General features: G+C 39.4%; 1 protein-coding gene across 4 annotated transcripts in view; it reads left to right on the top strand.

Moving 5' to 3' along the window:
- The window catches only part of RCAN2 (regulator of calcineurin 2), a 271,235-nt gene that overhangs the window by 11,182 nt on the left and 239,685 nt on the right, over nt 1-20,368 (top strand). The window contains exon 1 of one of the 4 annotated variants that reach the window (XM_011514226.2): nt 280-520. The exons of the other annotated variants lie outside the window; for them this stretch is intronic. The gene's annotated coding sequence lies outside the window, so the exon portion shown is untranslated. Of the gene's footprint in view, nt 1-279; nt 521-20,368 lie in introns of those variants that run through there. 4 annotated transcript variants of the gene reach the window in all.

Raw genomic sequence — 20,368 nt, 5'->3', positions numbered from 1 at the left:
CCGGGTGTGGTGATGGGTGCCTGTAATCTCAGCTACTCAGGAGCCTGAGGCAAGAGAATGGCGTGAACCCAGGAGGCAGAGCTTGCAGTGAGCTGAGATCGTGCCCCTGCACTCCAGCCTGGGTGACAGATCGAAGACTCCGTCTCAAAAAAAAAAACAAGTAACTCTACATGATAAGTTTGTCTAGTTTCATTTTGCGTGGGTGAATAGGTTTCTTTTTTCCAGAATGTGACCTAGTACCACATCTCTGTGACATAACAAAGCACCAGATATGACTGAGAGCAGTGTCTGAATTTTTTATAGGCAGATGTATTAAATGCTTCTTCTGTCTGAAACTCAAATTATTTTGAAATGCTTATGTTTTGGTAAGATAGTGCATTCTTTCTTCTTTTGTGGAACTTGGATACAAAGCAACTGAACAGGAATAATTGTGGATATTTATTGAGGACCTATTAAGCACCAAGCACTGGCTAAAGACCCCACATGTTATCACATATTGTCCTCTCGACAAACCTGTGAGGTAAGTTCTGTTTTCATCCTGCTGTTCTTTAGATGAGGAAACTGAGGATCAGGAAGGTTGAGTTACTCTCCTATAATTATACTGGTAATAAGTGGGAAGCCCAGACTCACCAATGATCTCTTTGTCACCACAGCCCACCATTCCTTGTCAAAGTGGGATTTGTAAAGGCATTTGTGGGGCCCGCTTTATAATGAATAATACTGCTGCATGGTTTTGGTGCCGGAATTTGTGTTTTATATTTGCAATCCAGTTTGTCCAATGCTATTTTAGTAGCTGTGGGCTTATGGGAATGAACAATGGACTTATGTAATTTGCCTCAAGTGAAGGCTATATGACTGCATGGCACACTGGTCCAGTATGTTTAGTTTTGCTGTGGATAAAGAAATGTGGCTGGGCACAGTGGCTCACACCTGTAATCCCAGCACTTTGGGAGGCTGAGATGGGCAGATCATGAGGTTAGGAGATCAAGAACATCCTGCCCAACATGGTGAAACCCCATCGTTACTAAAAATACAAAAATTAGCCAGGCATGGAGGTGAGTGCCTGTAGTCCCAGCTACTCAGGAGGCTGAGGCAGGAGAATTGCTTGAACCCGGGAGGCAGAGGCTGCAGTGAGCTCACGCCACTGCTCTCTAGCCTGGGTGACAGAGTGAGACTCTATCTCAAAAAAAAAAAAAAAAAAAAAAGGTGAGACAGACCCTACTGCACGGCAGGTAGTGGGAGCATTCTGAATCCCAAGACACCTGTGTTGAGGTTTTCAATATCATAGCCATAATGAAAATGGAGGGTTACTTTTAGGAAAACATCATCATCTGAATATTAAGTAAATGTTCATTTGAACGGAATTGGTGTTACACTTTTGTGGGTATTTGGTTAAAACTTTTAGTTGGCATTTGATGATTTTAGAGGAGCTGAAACTATAAGAATTTTTATGTTTGTATGTATTTAAGTATCATTACAGTAAAAGCCATGTAAGTCAAAATTGGGAAAGGAAGCATTCTAAATTGTTTTTCCTGAAAAGGATGCTCTGTACTCAGTTTTTCAAAATCTAGCATACTGAATTTTTCTACAATACCTAATGAAAATCTTCGATGCAAAAAAATGATTTCACACCCATCAGGGGTCTGGCCTGCCCACTGTAAGTCTTTCTTGAGAGATAAGTCATTGATATTTCCTTTGAACCTGTAAATATTATCTGGGACAGTAAAGGTCTGACCTTGGGTGGAACTCTCCATTGCTGAGGTTCTCTAATGCACCTTCAATTGGCCCTGTCTATCAAGATGCTTGTAGATTCTTTGTCGTCCTTTGTCCTGATTCTGATAACTCACAGTTGTATGCACATCGCCAATTGTTTATAATCGTTTTCTTATCACCACCATAAAGATTTGTGAATTTGGGCTAGGAAGTAGTACCAGCCTCACTTAAGCAGAGAAGATAATGACAATATACTGGAATTTTAAAAGCTTCTGGCTTAAAAGATCTCTCAGTCTGTCCAAAATGACTACATTAGTTACTTTTGAGTAAAGAAAAAGCAGGTCCCTGTTAAATGCAGACATGGGAAGAGGAGGTAGTATCTGACAGCATATTTATCCTTAGTTCTTCGGTGTTGCTTATGACGAATTTCCAGTAAGACTTTGGAGCACTAGATCGGAGGGCAGTGAGGTCTGATGGAAAGGGAGGAGAAGCTCATTGTATAGCATGTGGACATAGACATGTGATGGGACTTATGAGTGAAGAAGGAGGAAACCAGGAAGGAAAGGCTAGCTTAAGAGCAGTGCCAATCTTGGGTAGCCCAGGGCCATATTGTAAAAGAGGGGACTTTTTTTTTCTGTGCATAATGTACTTTTCTTCTGTCATTTACAATTTCAATAAAGGTTTTCTATTTTAATAAAATATGTAGAAATGTGTTATAGGTGTTTGTTGTTGTTATTATATCACTATCATTGTTATTATTTCCCAACAGCCTGCATGATACAGAGAGATTATCACTGGGTGCATGGAGTGGGAAATTCAAAGAGCTGGGCTAGATGGGCTGTGATTTTCTTGTGAGAGATTGGGCTTTCCCTTAGTAACATTTTGACCTCAGTTTTCTAGTTTACATCATTAAAGTATTGGGCAAAATGATCACTGGAGTTGCTGCCAGCTCTTTCATTCTTTGTATATTCTAGTCTTTGCAAGAAATCATCGTAGCATCCTTGGAATATTTCATGAAAATGACCGATGGTAGTTCTGATTATTATTTTAATGCTCATCTTTCATGCAGAGCTATTCTTAGTTAAAGACTATGGGAATACTTACTTTTGTCATCTTCAGTGAGAGAGGTATTTGATAGCTTTTCAGGGCATCCTTAAGATTGAGCCACCAGCTGATCAAACATTTGCATATACTTAGAGTTAGCCATTTTATGGTAGGAGCTTTTCTGTTCCTTTCTCTGAGTTTGCTTTTAATTATACTGTCTGCCAGGGTACTTCCACCCTAGAGATGGCAAGATGGATGTGTCTTACATCCTTGCCGGGTCTTCAACTGACAGAGGGGAGAAAAGGATGGCATCGATTTTTGTAGGAATTGGTAACGACGTTATTTTTATACTTTGTTACAACTCTGAGTGTATTGTCTGGCAAATCTCTTTTCAGTAGATAATATTTGTATTAATAGGTAACTTATCTAGAACCTATTTTGTGCAAGGTATTATTTTAAACATTTTACTCATAAAATGACATCTGATCCTCATAATATCTTCCTCCACATTTGACAGATGAGGAAACTGAGGCACAAAGAAGTTAAATAGCTTGCCAAAGCCCCACAGCTGATAAGTGGCATAGCTGGAATTCAAAGCCAGGCATCAGCACACAACATCTGTGGTTTTTATACAATTTGATTCTAGCTTTTATGTGTTACCCAAAAATGTTAGACTCAATTTTATCATTTTTATAAATTGAGCCTTGAAGAGCTCACCAATAATTTTATCCTAAAAATGGATCAGCTCTTATGTTTTGCCCCTGCTTTTCTGTTTTTCACTTTTTATGTCGGGTAAATAAGCTGTTAGAAACCAACAGAGTCCATGTATCATTTAGTACCAGAGTTGGAGAGAGAGAAGGGGAGGATTCTAAAGGACATGATGAACAGCCAGATAAAGAGTTACATAGAGGGAGGTTTAGAAGGGCCCTAAATGCAGGAGCTTCTGTCCCCCTGCAAGTTGAGATGTGCCACCCTCCTGGCCCATGCTTGTATTCAGGAACCTGGAAGCAATCCAAACTCTGTTCTTTTATGTTTTTTTGGAGGATTCATCATTCAGGTATGATTGATTACATGATTGACCACTGGTGATCAACCCAACCTTCAGTTCCTTTCTTTTCCTTTGAGGTCAGAGTTGGGGGACCGAAAGTTTTAACCCTTTAATCTCACATTTGGCTCACCCTGGCAACCAGCGCCTCATCTTGCAGTTATCTAGGGGCTTTCCAAAAATCTTCTGACTGAAAGGGGCTTGCAATGAGTAAGAGAAGATATGTTCATCTTTCTTGCTGTGTAACTGCTGTAAGCTGTTTAAAAAACCTAGAACAAAAGACAAAATATTTTCACAAAAGATACTCCTATTACTCCTATCACTCTAATCATTTAGGAAATTACAAGGATTTCAGGAGCTGTGAGCCAGGAACCTTGGACAAAGACAAAAATATATGTTTCCTTTTATATCACAATATCACAGCATGATACAAAGAAACTTCCACCTTCAGGATTCTATCTAAGAGGGCTGGCACCATGTTTTGTTACTCACCACTATGTCCTTCATGACTAAGCATCTTGCATGTAACAAGCACTCATGAAGTATTATTGAAATTTTTGAATAGATTGGATGACTGTTGATAGCATTCTAATTATGTTATTAATATTCAGTGGATTATTTTTTACCTAACCATAAAAATAATGCTACCTAGCTTTATGGATTATTTGTTTCACTTCATGCATGCCAATTTACCAAAAAATATTGCCTTCATTATTTTGGCCTAGTGGGATGGAAACATCAAGATTCAGGGGGTCTTCATTCTCGTTCTGATTCTGCTGTGCTAGCTGTGAGACAGTGAGCAACTGAGCTTCAGTTTTCTACTCTGTAAAATGGGGATTATAATAACTGCCCTGGTGATCTCATAAGGCTTGTGGAGGGTCAGATGGCATAAAAGCTTAGGTGACAAAAGATGAAAGGCATTACTATTCCCAGCATCACCCACTAGTGCATTCCCATTATCTACTACCCCTTCTTCACCAGTGTTACTTAGTCCACCTACATGTTCCATCTTTGGCTTCAAATTTTAAAACAGAGTCCATGAGAATGTCTGTTAAATGAACACTGGAAAAGAGAAAGAAGACCCATTTTGGGTGATTCATGACATCACCATTTGACCCTGAAAGCTGTGAGGGCAGGGATCATGGTTGTTCAATTTGCTTTGTTTTGTTTATCAAGAGCATGGTAGACCCTCCATGATTGTTTTTTGAATGAATAAACATAACTCCTGACTTCCAGTATTAGATCATAGAGTCGAGTAGCCATTCTGTGCTCCATGAGGGTGGAAGCAGCAGTCACCATCAGATGCTGGAGAGTACAGCATTTCAACTGCTCTGCTTAACATAATACAGAAACCAACCTGTGTGGAGGGAGAGAAGTGACTATAGAGAAATAATTTCAAGTTGAAATAGCTAAAGAATATTGGAATTATAGCTTTTCTGTTTGTTTGGAAAGAATTGAAGCCTTGGAAAATCCTTCTTCACTTCCCTTCAAGTGTCTTGACATTGGAGAAGAGGGTGGAGCAGCTCATCTCCTCACAGCCTGCTCATATCTCATTTCTACAATAAGCACTTACCTCCCTCCTCCCTGCTTTGCAATGGACATAACAATTCACTGCCTACCTGAAGTTAAAAAATGGAATTGCTGCTCTGTATGGCCAATAAATTAGCCTAGAGAGCATGACTTTCACCTGCCAGAAGCTTGCTCAAGTGGGCATTTCTTGAAAACAGCAATGGCTTCTGCTGTTGAAGCAGAGGATGGCAACATGCAGCTATTAGAGGGTTTCTCCCCTCCGTAACCAATAGTCATAGAGCCCTGAGTCATGTGCAGAAGGACCTCACCTCCAACCTAATTTCCAAGTGACCAGGAATCAACAGCTGGTCATCAGCTTCCCTCTAAGATTCTTATACAGAAAAATAAAAAAACTCATTTTAATCCAGTATTTCTTAAAAATTGAAAAATTTCACAAAATACTTCAACAAATATTTGGAAATCCATAAAAATGCATACAGCAACTTCCTGATTTAGAAAAAATAATATGAGTAGTAAAGCAGTAAGACAATGTTCACCTAGAAAAAATAAGCCTTGACTTTCCCCTTGGAGTACAGTAGGGCATTGGTATATGATTTTTCTATGCCACCTGCTGCTTATGTTTCTTTCCCAGCTACTCACCCCCAATTGTGTTCAATTTATCTTTTGTTGCTCCCCTTTGGAACTGAACTTTTGAAGGCAGCGGAACTCCAATCTGGAGATCAAAGTTATTTCTTAGTCTTCAGCATCCCTAACTTTCACATAGCAATGATTCCAAAGGATTTCCTCCTTTCCCAAAACCTACTGACTATGCTATTGTGAGGAGGTTTTTCCTAATTCTCCCACTTCTCTATCCATACCTGTCTCTTCCTTTCCAAACGTACCATCACTCACTTCTTGCAGAACCTTGTTGATGGCGGCTTAGGTGGTCTTCTATCCATATGCCCCTCTCCAACTCTTAACTGAGCTGCTAGAGAATTTTGTTAATATTTATTATGATATTAATAGCACTCTGTTGCTTCAAGAATATTCCTCATTGCTGGCCTTTACCTACTGAGCTAGAAACAGATTTTATGTCATGAAAGGTACATGACAATATGGCTTCCCCCTGCCTCCCCACCGCCTCATGTGTCAGTCAGGACTCCTGTAGTTCTTTTAATATGTAGTAAGCTCTCCCCTCTGTATATATTTGCTCAATAATTTTCCTTAGCCTGGAATGTTCTCTCCAACCCCCAGCTACCCCCCACTACCCTTTCTCTAAATGTCTGCTGCATTCCTCTCTACCTATTCACCAATTCTGCCTGTTCCTGAAGCATTTCCTGATTCTTTCTCCAGCTAAATCCCTTTCTCCTTTGAGTCCCCAGAGCTCTGCCTATTCTCCTCTTCTTCTGATGTCCACCTCCATTCTGGGCCTGGGTGTCCCTGCATAATCACAGTGCCTCTCCTCCACCACCCACTCAGGATGAGTCCTTCTGTCCAACTCTGAATCATCTAAGAGGAATCAGGATAGTTTGCACATAGTAGCTTCTCAATATGTTATTTTAAAGAGAAATATGTGAGTTTATATGTAAGACTTAAAAGTTAAAATACTGTCTTTGTTTTATAAATGTACCCTCATTCCTTTCCTGAGAGTTTATATGAAGAGTGCCCCTAAAGAATAAAATGACAGAGGAAAATGGTTTAATATCCATGGATATTATTCAGACCTGAATGATAATCAGCAGCCTTTCCCTTATCCACAGTCAAAATATGTCATTGATTTATCTAATAATTATCAGGTTAAAAAAATCCCAAGTTAGTTTTGGATAATGCATAGTTTTCTCTATGAAAATACTACTGAGGTTATAAACCCACTGAGCATATACTGGACTAGCACTGCCATTGATGTGTTTCATATGGTGCTGTTATTGACATTTGGTTCCTGATGGTAATGAAAGACTCTAGTCTATTACAATTCTGATATTTTATTGGTGATTTATAGGTAATAGTTTATTGTTTAAAGAGAACAAAAAAAAATAGCACAGACAGCCAGTTAAACAATTCAGTTCACTAGACATTTACTGAATGCCTATTATATGCTAGGTATGAGATAGGGGTGTGTGTTTGTGTGTGCATGTGTCTGTATGTGTGTGATGCCATTCTTGATATTAAGAAGCTATAAGGTAGAGTCATAATTGATTATCATGGAGGATCAAACAGTATACCGTAAGATATTGTATGTGGCAAAAGAAAGGAGAGAAAAGCATTGGTATGCTTTAAGAGTTTGCAAATTAATAAGAGACCACATAAATGTGTATATGTACATTTAAACATGATTTATAGAAACAGACAGACATACATGCATATAACTAATCAAACTGTCCTGAAACATGACTTCTAAAAGTTCAGGGCTGTGGACCCCAGGAAAATCACATTGTCACTTAAATTAAAAACTACATTTATCTGGAAAGCAAGATTTGGGGCTTAAGCTTGGTATTCTGAGTTAGTCCCATGAAGGGACTTTTTCTCGCTCTGAGCTACCAGAAGCCAACCTAAGTAGCTCTTCTCTGGGTGAAAATCCCTAGATCTTGTTACTTCAGAAAAAGTTCCAGTGTTCCTGTACTCTCTTTCCCAGACTGACTGGCTTAACTCAGTTGGTATGTCCTCCAAGTTCCTTCTTCTTTCAAGACTTATATGTCTTAGAATCTAAGACTAAGATTGAGTTTTGATTCCCCAATCATTCAAGAAATTCTACTTAGTCTGTACTAGATACTTGGTACAATGTTGAGTTCTAGAGATACAATGTGAACAAGGTAGACAATCTGCATTTGCAGGTTGGAAAGAGAGGCAGCTACACAATTACAGTACAGCAATTGTGTCTTTCTCCATTATGATGGAGAAAGACAGCATCATGGGGGATTTATCCTGGAGTTAAACATCTTCACTGTCCTCTCCGTTGCCTGGCTGAGCACAGGGGAATGGGATGCGGAGAGTCACAGAGAGATTTGACAGAGATTAAACTAACACAGGCACTACAAAGGGACTATTGCTCAACTTTATTAGTCTTAGTTGGGTACCTAAATATAGCGATATGTTACAGACCATTGCTATTAAAAGGAAGTCCCAATACATCCATCTTTAGAATTTATATGTGTGCTTTTATGTCAGGAAACAATCTGTAGCCTTTTGAATATGGGTTTCCATTACATTGTTTGGAGTTTGGGATATATTTTCCTAGGAAGCATCATGAATTATGACCAGATCCCCAAGCTGGCCCAAAAGCCTGTTATATGCATGATGTACTTGATGTAAAGTACAGGAGTGTTGATTTGAGAGATCTTAAAAGCTACGTTGTTGTGGGAAAAATACTCAGAATTCCAGGTTGGAATACAAGCAAGATTATTTTTCCCTTTGTAGCCTTTAGAGTGAGAACAAGGTTTCCTGTTCTCCACCCACTTCCTTACAGAACAATGCGAGGAAGAATTCCACCAGGTGCAAGTCGCCGAGTCCTGGGATAGGTGCTCTAGGGGAGGTAGGGGCTAGCAGGTGGTAAGAGGTAAGGGGGACTGTGTGAGTGTGTGTGTGTGTGCGCACGCACCTGGTTGTTGACTGTTGAAGAAGGTTCCTATACTATTTTAAGTGCTTTACATGTATTATCTAATTGAATCCCTATAACACACCCCCTTGCAATGGTACTATTATTATTCCTCTAAAATTGTGGTGTGTTTCAGGGCTCAGGCCTTAGACCTCTTCTCTCACTAAACTCACTCATTCAGACCCATGGCTATAAGTGTCATCTATTTTATTCCCCTCTCCCCTGAACTCTGAACTCATGGCACCAACTGCTCATTACTTAGATGAATAATAGCATTCTTTATGGCATGTCCTAAACTAGACTTCTGATTTCATCCCTCTAAACTTGCTCCTGCCACAGCCTACTCCACCTTAGTAAATGGCAGTTTTGTGCTTCTAGGTCCTCAGGCCAAAATCTTGGTATTACTCTTCAATCTTCTCCTACCTCATATCCGATCCATCAGCAAATACCACGTGTACATTAAAAACACCCAGACTCAAGTTCCTACTGATTCTGTTTCTACTGCCACCTCTTTGGTCTCTATCACCATCATCTGTTACCTAGATTACTGCAATTGTTTCTTAGTAGGTTCCTACTTCTGGCCTTGTTCCATTGCTCTATTCTCCAGATAACAGCCAGATAAATTATTTTAAAACATAAGTCAGTTCCTGAAACTCCTCTGTTCAGACTCTTCCAGTGGCTTCCCATCTCAGGGTAAAATCAAAAAGTCCTCTCCAAGGCTTGTAAGGCTCCACATGTCCTGGCCATCTGCTTTTCCTCTGAACCCATCTTGTACACTCTCTCTTCCTTACCAGCCTCACCTTCTTCCTTATTGATCAGAGACATATTCCTCACCACCCCTACATAAAGTGTATAAAATAGCAAATGCTCTATACCAGAGCCACACTACACAGGTTTTGATAGGTGGGTATAAATACTCTGAAGGGTATCTGTGCCTTCTGGTGGAGTGGTGAATGAGGTGAATGAGGAGAGGTGAATTCACCAGAAGAAAAAATGAATAAAGACTGAGCCATGCACAATGAAGACAGATTTCATCCTTGCCACATCTAAGCCATGGGCAAACCATGTTTATGTGGTCAGTTAAACTTGCTTTCTTTTTAAGACTCATACCCTTATTACATTTTTAAGTGTTTCATATTTACTATTTGAAGTAATTGTACATTGTAAGTGAAAAAACAATAGTTCTATTTGGAAGAAGGAAAATAATGAAACCAGTTTTAAGAAATATAAAAAATGAGAAAAGTAAGTGAACTGGTAGAGAGAGGGTACATAGAAAACTGGCTTGATTTATTTAGTGAACATTTTTGTATGTGTCACTGACATCTGAAAGGTAGAGCTATTAAGTAACTATATAAAGAGACAAATGGCAATAGTTCCTCAAAAAGACAAGCAAGCCTAATATAATGTTTCTCATCTTTAATATCACCCCATTCCTGGTACTGAACTAGGTTTTATAAATCCAGTGGTGAACGCTGATCTCTGACATCTTAATAAGGCACTTCAATGTTGTTGGCTGTTTATCCAGTTTTATATATATGGGATGGTGCTAGGATTGGTTAGAAAAGTAGGAAGGTAAAGGGGGTCCTAGTTCTCTCCTCTAATATAAATAGCTTCCATTGGTCTTGTTGGAATGCCAGATGGGCCCCTCATAATGTTCTAGTTGTATTTCTCAGGAGTCTGTCGGCTGCACTATCAAAAACATTGTCTTGACTATCATGGTGTCTATTGTGATGGTTTCAGTTCATTAAAGTTGTTTTAGTTCATTTTGTGCTGCTATAACAAAATATCTGAGACAATTTTTAAAATATCTGAGGCAATTTAAAAAGAAGAGAAATTAATTTTCTCACAGTTCTGAAGGCTGGGAAGTCTAAGATCAAGGTGTCCAAGATCAAGGAAGTCCAAGATCGAGGTTCGGTCGTCTGGTGAGGGTGGTTCTCTGCTTGCAAGATGGTGCCTTATTGCTGTATCCTCCACAAGGGAGGAATTCTGTGTCCTCACATGGCCAAAGGGCAAGCTAGCTGAATGCTACATGAAGCCTCTTTTGTAAGTACCTTAATCTCATTCACAAGGGGAGAAGCCCTTTTGACCTAATTACTTCTTAAAGGCCCCACCTCTGAATACCATCACATTGGCCATTAAGTTTCAACACCTACATTTAGGAGGGGACACATTCATAACATAGCACAAGCATTCCACCAGCTCTTTTGGACAAGTAGAAGGATGGTATACATCCTCTTCCCACTTCGTTTCTAGCATGGTCTTTGTTGTAAAGCAGTGTGGAGGCCAGGACAGTTAAGTTACCAGTTCTCAAAAGGTGGATTATCAGCTAAATCACCTAGCTGTTCCTACTTGTTTCCTCTACTGCCTCAATTTCTTCCCCCAAATGCTTTGTAGGTTTTCCTCAGAAATCTTACTACCCTTTGCTACCAAGACTGGTTCCATCCTCCACGAGCCCTAGCCACTGATCAGCTGCTGGAGGGGGTGAGGGATGTGGTGAACTGGTCCCAATTGCAGCAGGCCAGAAAGGACTTTATAAAGGTTTCAGTTTGTTTTTTTTCTAGGCTAGAATCTGGGTCAGCTCTTTCTTGTAAACAACACATGGCACTAGAAGTGGGAGATTAATTACGGATCATCTTGAATTGTGACTCTCTGACAATAGTGAGAGAAACTGGAAGTTATTTCCACAACTGCCCAGCCCTGTGTCAGTGTCTCAGTTGTGGCCCTTGGTTGAACAGGCCAAGGGCAGACAGCTCCATCTAGATGGGAGGTGGCAATGCAGAAGTACAATCAGCCCTGGCTTCTGTAGGAACCTGAGGGTATTACAATTGTAGATTTGAGAGAGAAACAGAGGTGTGATAGAAACCGTCTTCAATAAATGGATATAAAAAGAAGGGAAGGGTTTTAAAAGTAACCTGAAGCAGCTGGGGGCAGTGACTTACTTTCAGATCAAGAGCAAATTGTGCTAACAAGTAAAGTTAAGGAGGAGAGAATGAAAACACTCAGCCTTCCGGATTTAACACAGCTGGAGACAATGAGAATCTGTGAGACTCAGGAAGTCACTCAAGTTGAGAAAGTGCTGATTAAAGGTGAGCAAGGCTCTGGAACATCTAGCGGAGAGAGAGAAAGAGTGGGGAGAGAGAAGAGAGGGGAGAGAGGGAATCTGAGGGTATTACATTCCATTTGTCTCGTCAGCACAGCATATCAGGAGCCGTGCTGGGAGCCAGCATTATAGGAAGAAGCAAGTATGCTCAACATATGGAAGGAGATGTAAAAACGTCAATAAATGGGTTTGCTTTGCCAAATGTTGTAAATAACAACACATGTGCAGACGGGAGGACAGAAAGGAGAAGCTGGGCAGCCCTCCCAGGATGGGGGCTGCTTTGCTGGCGTTGGCGCGGCTGTGGTGGGGTTGGACCTCACTCTGAAGTACCCTGGATCCTCTGGTAAGCCCTGACAGGGTTTTCATCTAAGTTGGAAAATTGTGATTAAAGAAAAGAGAAGGGTAAGTAAGACTATAAGATTGAAGCAGGGAATTTGTACTAGGAAGCTAAGTACTTCAGGTCCCCTTTGGGTTGAAGATGACCTGATAAAACTAAAAGGTTTAGAACAGTGGTCCATATTCTTATCCTAAACTCAAGTCAAACTCTGGGCCTAACACCAATGTTGACTTTCTTGGAAAGTAAAACAATTAAGGGAGAACAGATTAAGTAAAGGTATAATTGGCAGTTAGATTAAGCAATTATAGCAAATGCTAATATTTCATGAGTGATTATAGCTGCTGGGCCCTGGGCTAAATTCTTTACTAGGATTATCTCATTTGGACCTCTCAGTAGTCCCAATTTATAGCTGTGGAAACTGAGGCCTAGTAAGCAGAGCTAACTTGCAGAAAATCACAAAGTAAAATTGTTGTAGAAAGAGGATTCAGACTCCAGGGCCAGCCACTACTGTCAGTCCATCTTCTCCTAATTGATAATCACAAATGCTGAGGAGCTGGGATTTCAGTCTGAGTCTGTCTGACTTCAGTGTTCTTGCATTTTTTCACTGTGGAGGTACAGTCTCTTCCGAAGAGCCGAAAAACATAGTACCCACCAGAAATTTTGGGATTTTGGAGTAGGTGAGAGGGAGAAGAATGGTAAGATGTGTAACATTTAATCCAAGGAACAGCCCAGTGAAGTAGGTACTACTGTGGTTCCCACATTGCATATGGTGCCCAGAGATGTTCAGTAACATGTCCAAGGTCACACAGCTAGAAAGTGGCAGTGCCAAAATTCAAGACCAACTTCAAAGTTCACACTTAACCACTGTACTCCTTCTGTACATGCAAAAAGACCCATGACTCTAGGAAAGAGAGGAGGAGCTCCTGTGTCATATGAGACAGAAGGTTGCTCTGTTGAGAACTTAAGATGGTTAACACTTATAATAGTTAACACTTACTGAACACTCATGGTGTGTCCGAGTCATTGTTCTAAGTGCCTTATGTGCATTAGCTATCAAATCTTCAAAACAGCACTATAAAAGGCATATACTCCTGTCATCTTTACAGTTGAGGAAACAACACAGAGATTAAGTGATTTGTCCAAGGTCACACAGCCAGTAAGCTGGACAGCTGAAAGTCAAATTCAGAGCTCTTTGAATTCCATTCAATTCAAGAAATGTCAGAAGTTACCTTCCAAGTGCAAGGTCCTGTTTAGTAGCTACAAGAGTTATGCAGGCAGGTAAGACACAGCTCCTGCGCTCAACATTGGGTGGAAGATAAGAAATAAGTTAGTGCAAAGAGAGGCAAAACAAAGTAAGTGTCCCAAGAGGTGCAAGCGCAAGACAATAGCAATCAGTAACTGGGGAATCTCATCTAGTGCAGGCTGGGCTGAGAGCGGGGTATGAAGGCAGTGACCCCAGATGTGACTTTGAAGATGAGTGGAATGTTGATAGGTGGGAATGGGGCACAGCAGAAGAAAACCTTAAGGAAAGCTTGAGGAAATTGGCCAAAGCTACACAGCTATTTAATATTTATAAGTTTGTTACAGATAAAGCCCTTAGAACAAAGTAAGCACTCAATGATTGTCGCTGCTCCTGCCGCTATTGTTATGGACTGAGCTGGAACTTGATACTGAGACTTGTGATTTTTTTCAGCGTTGATGAGGCAGTTGATAAGTCTAGATAGGAAGTCTGTCATCTTGTGGCTGTCCTGGTTTGCTGGGCTGAAGAGTTTTTTATTTAATTTGACAGGTCCTGTGGAGTTATGGAAGATTTTTAATGTGGAAATAACGTGAATATTTAGCTGTATTGTGGGAAAAAATAGCATACTGTCTGCTAGGTACTGAGATGGGGATTTTTCTTCCCCCTGCCTTTCCTCCTTGAGTTGAAAGGAATTCCAAGCTCTTCATTACCTGCTAATGTTGTGGAAGGGAGTGTGACCTGCCTCCTTGGACTTCTAGTGAGTCCTGTCCAGCTCTCCACTCCCTAGGCAGCCTTCTAGTCCATCTTTTCTTTTCTAAATAAGTCAGACCCTTCTTAGCTGTATTTTTCTCAAAGCTGCAGTATCTCTCACTCCCTGCTTTCTTTCCTTTTCACTCTGTTTCTCTCCAGCACTCCATGCCCCATCTGAAAACCAAAGGTGAAAGATGACAGGATAAATCTTACTTTGGCTACCATAGCAACGTTCTTGTGCTTTGCTGCCCACTTTTGAAGTGTTGCCCTCCTGTGAAAAGTTATTTTGCATAACATTGCTCCACTCTTCCAGAGGCTTTGGGCCTTCTTTAAGCTTCTTCTAAGCAATCATGAGAGGATGGTCTTCTGTCTCCAGGTGGGGCGTCTGAACACATCTCCCCCAGTGGTGCAGGCATTCTCTACTATATACAGAGCCACTCATTCCCTGTTCACTTTTTTGTTTCTAAGAAAAATGCAGTCAGAGGTGATGAATCTTCAATTGTATTACATAAGCCCTGGTTTGAGCCATCTATTTACAAATGACTCAGCTGTACGTTTTCAAAATTTAAAGTGCTATTGAAATTAACCTATAAAATTTCTAGACTACTACCCATTTATGAAGGGTGTGCTTGTTATCTTTACTTGATCCCAGAGAGTCTCTCTCCACCCTTATCCCTCTGCACTGCGCCCTGTGCCCCAGAGCCTGACCTCTGTGTTCCACCTCCATGGCCCCCTGGCCCTCTGGTTTCCAGCTGGGTTTGACCAATGGGAGGTACCAGCAGGAGATCAGAGAAAGATAACAAGTTGGGGATATTTATTTCTCTGGCACTCTCTTTGTAGCACTACTGTAGATTGACTACATCCTGCAGTGAAAGATGTGTCAGGGGGCCATCTCCACACAGCCGTCTGTTCTCTCCAGAATATCCCCAGGTTCTGGAAACCCCTCCCCTCCTCTCAACTCTTCAAATCTAGGGAGAGTGCTAGACCAGGGTTTTGTACTATCTGTTGTGGTTTTCCTGTACCCTGCCCATGCTGTAAATAGTCCCTTTGTTATACTCTTTTCAAATTATCCAATTTGAACATGCTGTCTGTTTCCTGTGAGACCTTGACTAATACAATGTCCAAAACTCTTTTGCTTTGTGTGAGTGCTCCAATATTGCTTGTTTTGTTTAACAAATCTATAATTCACTGTAGCTCATTCTTTGTAGACACAGGTTTTTCTGTCTTTAAGAACAACTTTGTCACCCTCACACCCCTCATAAAAGATGGTGTTTCCTCTGACTCTGTTCTTTTGCAGCAAACCTGTTTGAAATGCATTTTCTTGATGATGATATTAGGTTTGTGGGAATGGAATACAAATGCCCTATTTGCTTGTCCCATCTGACCTTTGGTAAATTTGAGGGTCTTCCTCCCCTTTTTATTATGTTTATTGAAAGAATATATAGGATCTGCAAATCTTGTGAGATCATGGGCATTAAAATCCTGCAGGTGTACACATCCAGTGCAAAAGGACATGATGGAAACAACTTGCTTTTTTTTTTTTTTGCACTTCATAAAAATTCATAAGCTGCTGCTTCCACAGGGAATTGAATTAATTGAATTATTGCCCATTGGGAGCTTAAGGTGGAACAGTGGCTCCAGAAGGTGTCCTGAAGAGAGCCATAAATGAGGAATGTGGATGATTTCCTTTGAAAACTATGAGTTGGAAACTGCATGTTCCTGATACTTTCAAGACTGATCCCAAATGATATCAAGAATAGCATGAGGTTCACATAGCTCAGCAGGTGTGAAATTCTGCAGCTGAATTAAATAGGTTCCATTATATTTCAGAAAGAGCTCTAATGGGTTTCTATGGAGCATAGCCTAAGAATATCATGTCTCTCCTTTGTATCTCAGGATGGCTGGCTTGGTTTGTTGTTACTAATATTATACTTCAATCTCCCTGTAAGATGGACAAAAATGAGCAAAAGGCTTGTCTTATCCCTAGGAGGATCTAGATATTAAAACACCCAAAGGGCAAATCAAAAAGATCCCACTTCTAAAGCCAGACCAAAAATGAATGCTGATAATAAAATTTAATTGTAAATTTATTATTCTTATTATTCATCTAAATATTTTCTTCTAATGAGCTCATTTTGTCCCAGATATTATCAAATAATCATTTGGTTTTAGAGCTGAAGGGATTTTAAACACTGCAAAACTTTAGGTTCATATTCTTTAAAATTCTGAACTTGGCTCATTTAACCTTATATTCAATTGAAAAATATAGGCATTTCTTTTCTATTACTTATTAATGCTGCATTGTATTCCCAGTTTTTGTCATTAATATTTAAGCTGACATTGTTATATTTAAGTTCTTGTAAACTAACAAATCTCCCATAATTCATTTACTTGTTTTTCAATCAAAACTGAACTTGAAGTCAGGATGAATTATTCATTAATCATTTCCATTTATTCTATTTCCTTATTTATCCTCCTTAGCTGGCCATAACATGGAATCAAGGCATATTTTTTTATTTGTTGCCCTTATTGCAAAAGTTTTATATTTCTGTTCTTAATTTTAGAAGCAAATGAGGTGAATCTTTAACATTCTTTTTGTCTAAGAAAAAACAAATTTAAACTTAAGTTGCTTTTTGTATGTCTTGCTTATTTTTATCTTTTTATGGATCATTACTTTCTATTGAAAAATTCTTGCTTTTTAGTTTGAGTCACCTGGAAGAGAAAAAATAGAGACAGGTTATTTATGAGCATCCAAATTTAAGATTTAAACTCTGGAGAAAGCTTTTGTTAAAAGTTATATGTTCCCCTTTCTTGAGTATGTTTAATCCCAGAGATAAACAGATGTCTCTTTTCTTATGTATTTTTTTCCAATCATGGTAAGATAAAAATCTCAAATTGAGGAGAATCCTTAAAGGAAATGTCAGGCAATCATCACCCTGTTCCTTGGATTCCCTGTTTGACATCCTGCTAAATGAATGGCACCTGCTCAATGAAACTTTCTTATTGGATATCACCACTACAAGGAGTTCACTAACACATAAGGCAGGACATGCTATTCTAACCCAAATTGTTAAAAGATCCGTGGCTCCTTATATGAAATTAAACTCTTTCTCTCTGGTTTGACTTCTGTTTTTGTATACAAAAATTGTATTTGCTCTTTCAGAATTTGAAGGCAACCAAGCTTTAACTCAAAACTTATTTTCTATGCTTCGTATGCTTTTTCTTATCATGCATCTGTCTCTTAGATAACGTAACTTGACTGAATACTTTCCTTTGAAAGACTCAGTGTTTCTGTAGTGGACAGTACCCAGAATTGGCCATGATCTCTCCAGGTTGCCAAGACTCTAGATGCGATTATCACCACCCAACCCTTTCTGGTCACACATCACGCTACTGACTGATTTTACTTGATGGTAAAACTATTATAAGCATCTCCATGAATGTTTACCATCTTTCTGTGGCTCCCAGGTTGTTCTCATGGACTTATTTGTGGTTAACTTCCTCTCCTTTTATATTTAAAGGCTTTCTAGACCAGAATTCCTATGGGCAAATGCATGGCTCCCTGCTCTCATGAGTTATACCCAATTCCTAGAAAAGTGAATTTTTTTAGAATTCTGCAATTCAGAAATGTGAATCTCATGCACATTGATAACTCTGTGACAATAATGATATCCAGCAGAATCAGATGTCTTCTAAAGGTCTCTTCCTCCGGGTTTAATCATATGTATAAACATTTGTCAGGAAAGAAATTAGAGAGTTTTGGAAAGATTAATTCCTTGTGTAGAAAGCCAGTAATGTCTCTAACATCCAGATTTATTGGGGGAAAAGAAATTTTTTCACTTATTCATACAACATTTATTAAATGGCTACTTCTGTGTAACAGATGTTGAACAGATATCTTTATGTTTCAGGTGGCTAGTCTTTAAGGTAGGAAACATATTGTCTTTACTTTAGGTCTTTTAATGTTTAAAAAGTGCTATCATGTTATTTGAAAATCTTGGATGAAAATTATCTTCACATGTTTGCGAAAAAATGAAATGGTCGCAAACCCTCCCTTCTCCAGGCTTCCTTCTTCATTAAAATGAGTCAAATGCAATTGTCTATGTCTTCATTGCCATTAACGTTCTAACATTTAAATAAACTGTCATCTTGTTGTTGGTGATGTTTTCTGGGGGGAAAAGGTTGTTTGTTTTTTGTTTTAATTAATTTCTTTTGCCTTACAAATATCTTTTCCTCCTAATAGGGTCTTCACCCAAACTCATACCAAATATTCAAGCTGCACTGCTGCTTGTTTCTCATTGTAATGATATGAGCTGGAGGTTTGAAGCTGGAGGTTTCATACACTGGAGGTTTGAAACTCATTTACACACTTAACAGTAGAAGATGATGGCCACCTCTGCAGTGCCAACTTCCTCTGCCATTGGCTTGCTCTTGATAAGCCTAACAATAGTAATAAATAGCTTTCATTCACATGTTATTGGCAGAGGGGGGCCTTCAAAAGACTTTCATGTAGATCTGTAAGGTAGGCAAGGCCATGTTCCTTCTCCATTCTGCAGTCAAGAAAGCCACAGCTGGCTGGGCATGGTGGCTCACGCCTGTAATCTCAACAATTTGGGAGGCTGAGGCAGGCGGATCACCTGAGGTCGGGAGTTCGAGATCAGGCTGACCAACATGGAAAAACTCCGTCTCTACTAAAAAATACAAAATTAGCTGGGCGTAGTGGCACATGCCTGTAATCCCAGCTACTCGGGAAGCTGAGGCTGGAGAATCTCTTGAACCCGGGAGGCGGAAGTTGCGATGAGTCAAGATCGTGCCATTGTACTCTGACCTGGGCAATAAGAGCGAAACTCTCTCTCAAAAGAAAAAAAAAAAAAGAAAAAAAAGAAAGCCACAGCCCAGAAGGCCCCCTATTTACAGCTTGAGACTGGCATGAAGGTATTCCCTTAGGGCTCTTTCCAGTATTTCATGAAGATGTCTCTTTTCTTTATCTAAAGAAGTTTTGAAATTCTCCCATGGGAAGATTTATATTTTAATAGTGGATAGTGGTTTTTCTTTTCCACATGCATAAGGTGATGGAAACTTATGCTTTCCAAATGTCAAACAACAGAAGAGTGATTAAATTATGACAGATTCATACACTGGGATACAATGTGGCTATTAAAATTAATGTTTTGAAGAATATATAATCACACAGGGAACTGCTCTTGATTATATCAGTGTTGCAGGACAGGAGCGGTATACTAAACAGCAGGACCCCCATTTTGTTTAAAAATTTTACATGTAAAAAAAACACTGCAATGAAATATACCAAAATGTTAGCAGGAGTTTTCTCTGGATAGTAGGATTATGGTTTACTTTTATTTTCTTCTTTATAGCTTTTTGAATTTTCCAGTTTTTCTTCAGTTAACTCATTAAAAAACATTAATGTTATTTTTGCTATTTTCCACAGATTATTAAATTTTAGCTAGAGGAATCCTGTGAGTCTTGCTATCTTTGAGTGATTCTTGCTATCTTTCATTTGTAAAATTACATTTTAGAAATCAAACCTTTACATTTAAATGAGAGGATTGTTTTCATTATTAGTGTAGACATTTGAAATAGTATATCATTAGTGTATACATTTTAAGTTGGACATTATAACCCACTTGCTGGTCTGTTATTTCCAAAAAGTGACTCTTTTTTATATAATTCATTAATTCAGCCAAACATTATTTTGAGGGCTTTCTATATTTTCCTGTAGATACATGGATGAAGACAACCCAGCCTCTGCTTTCAAGAAATACCAATCTGGATTGAGATACAGACTAGTAAAGTAGTAATCACAATAGTAGCTGCATTGGAGGACAATTTTATGAGAAAAGGCTGTGCAGGTGCTCAGGGAGCTCTGAGAAAGAACACCACATTCATCCCAGCCTGGGTGAGGTTGGGAAGCCCTCCCGGAAAATGGCCTCCTAGCTGAAGGAAGCTCTTCTCCTTTGGATGGCCAACCTCAGATTTAGAAATAAGGACAACACATGTCAATCTTGGTAGACAATGGT

This window comes from Homo sapiens, chromosome 6 (genome assembly GCF_000001405.40).
Source record: "Homo sapiens chromosome 6, GRCh38.p14 Primary Assembly".
Classification (NCBI taxonomy): domain Eukaryota; kingdom Metazoa; phylum Chordata; class Mammalia; order Primates; family Hominidae; genus Homo; species Homo sapiens.
This window is presented reverse-complemented; position numbering and strand designations above follow the sequence as displayed.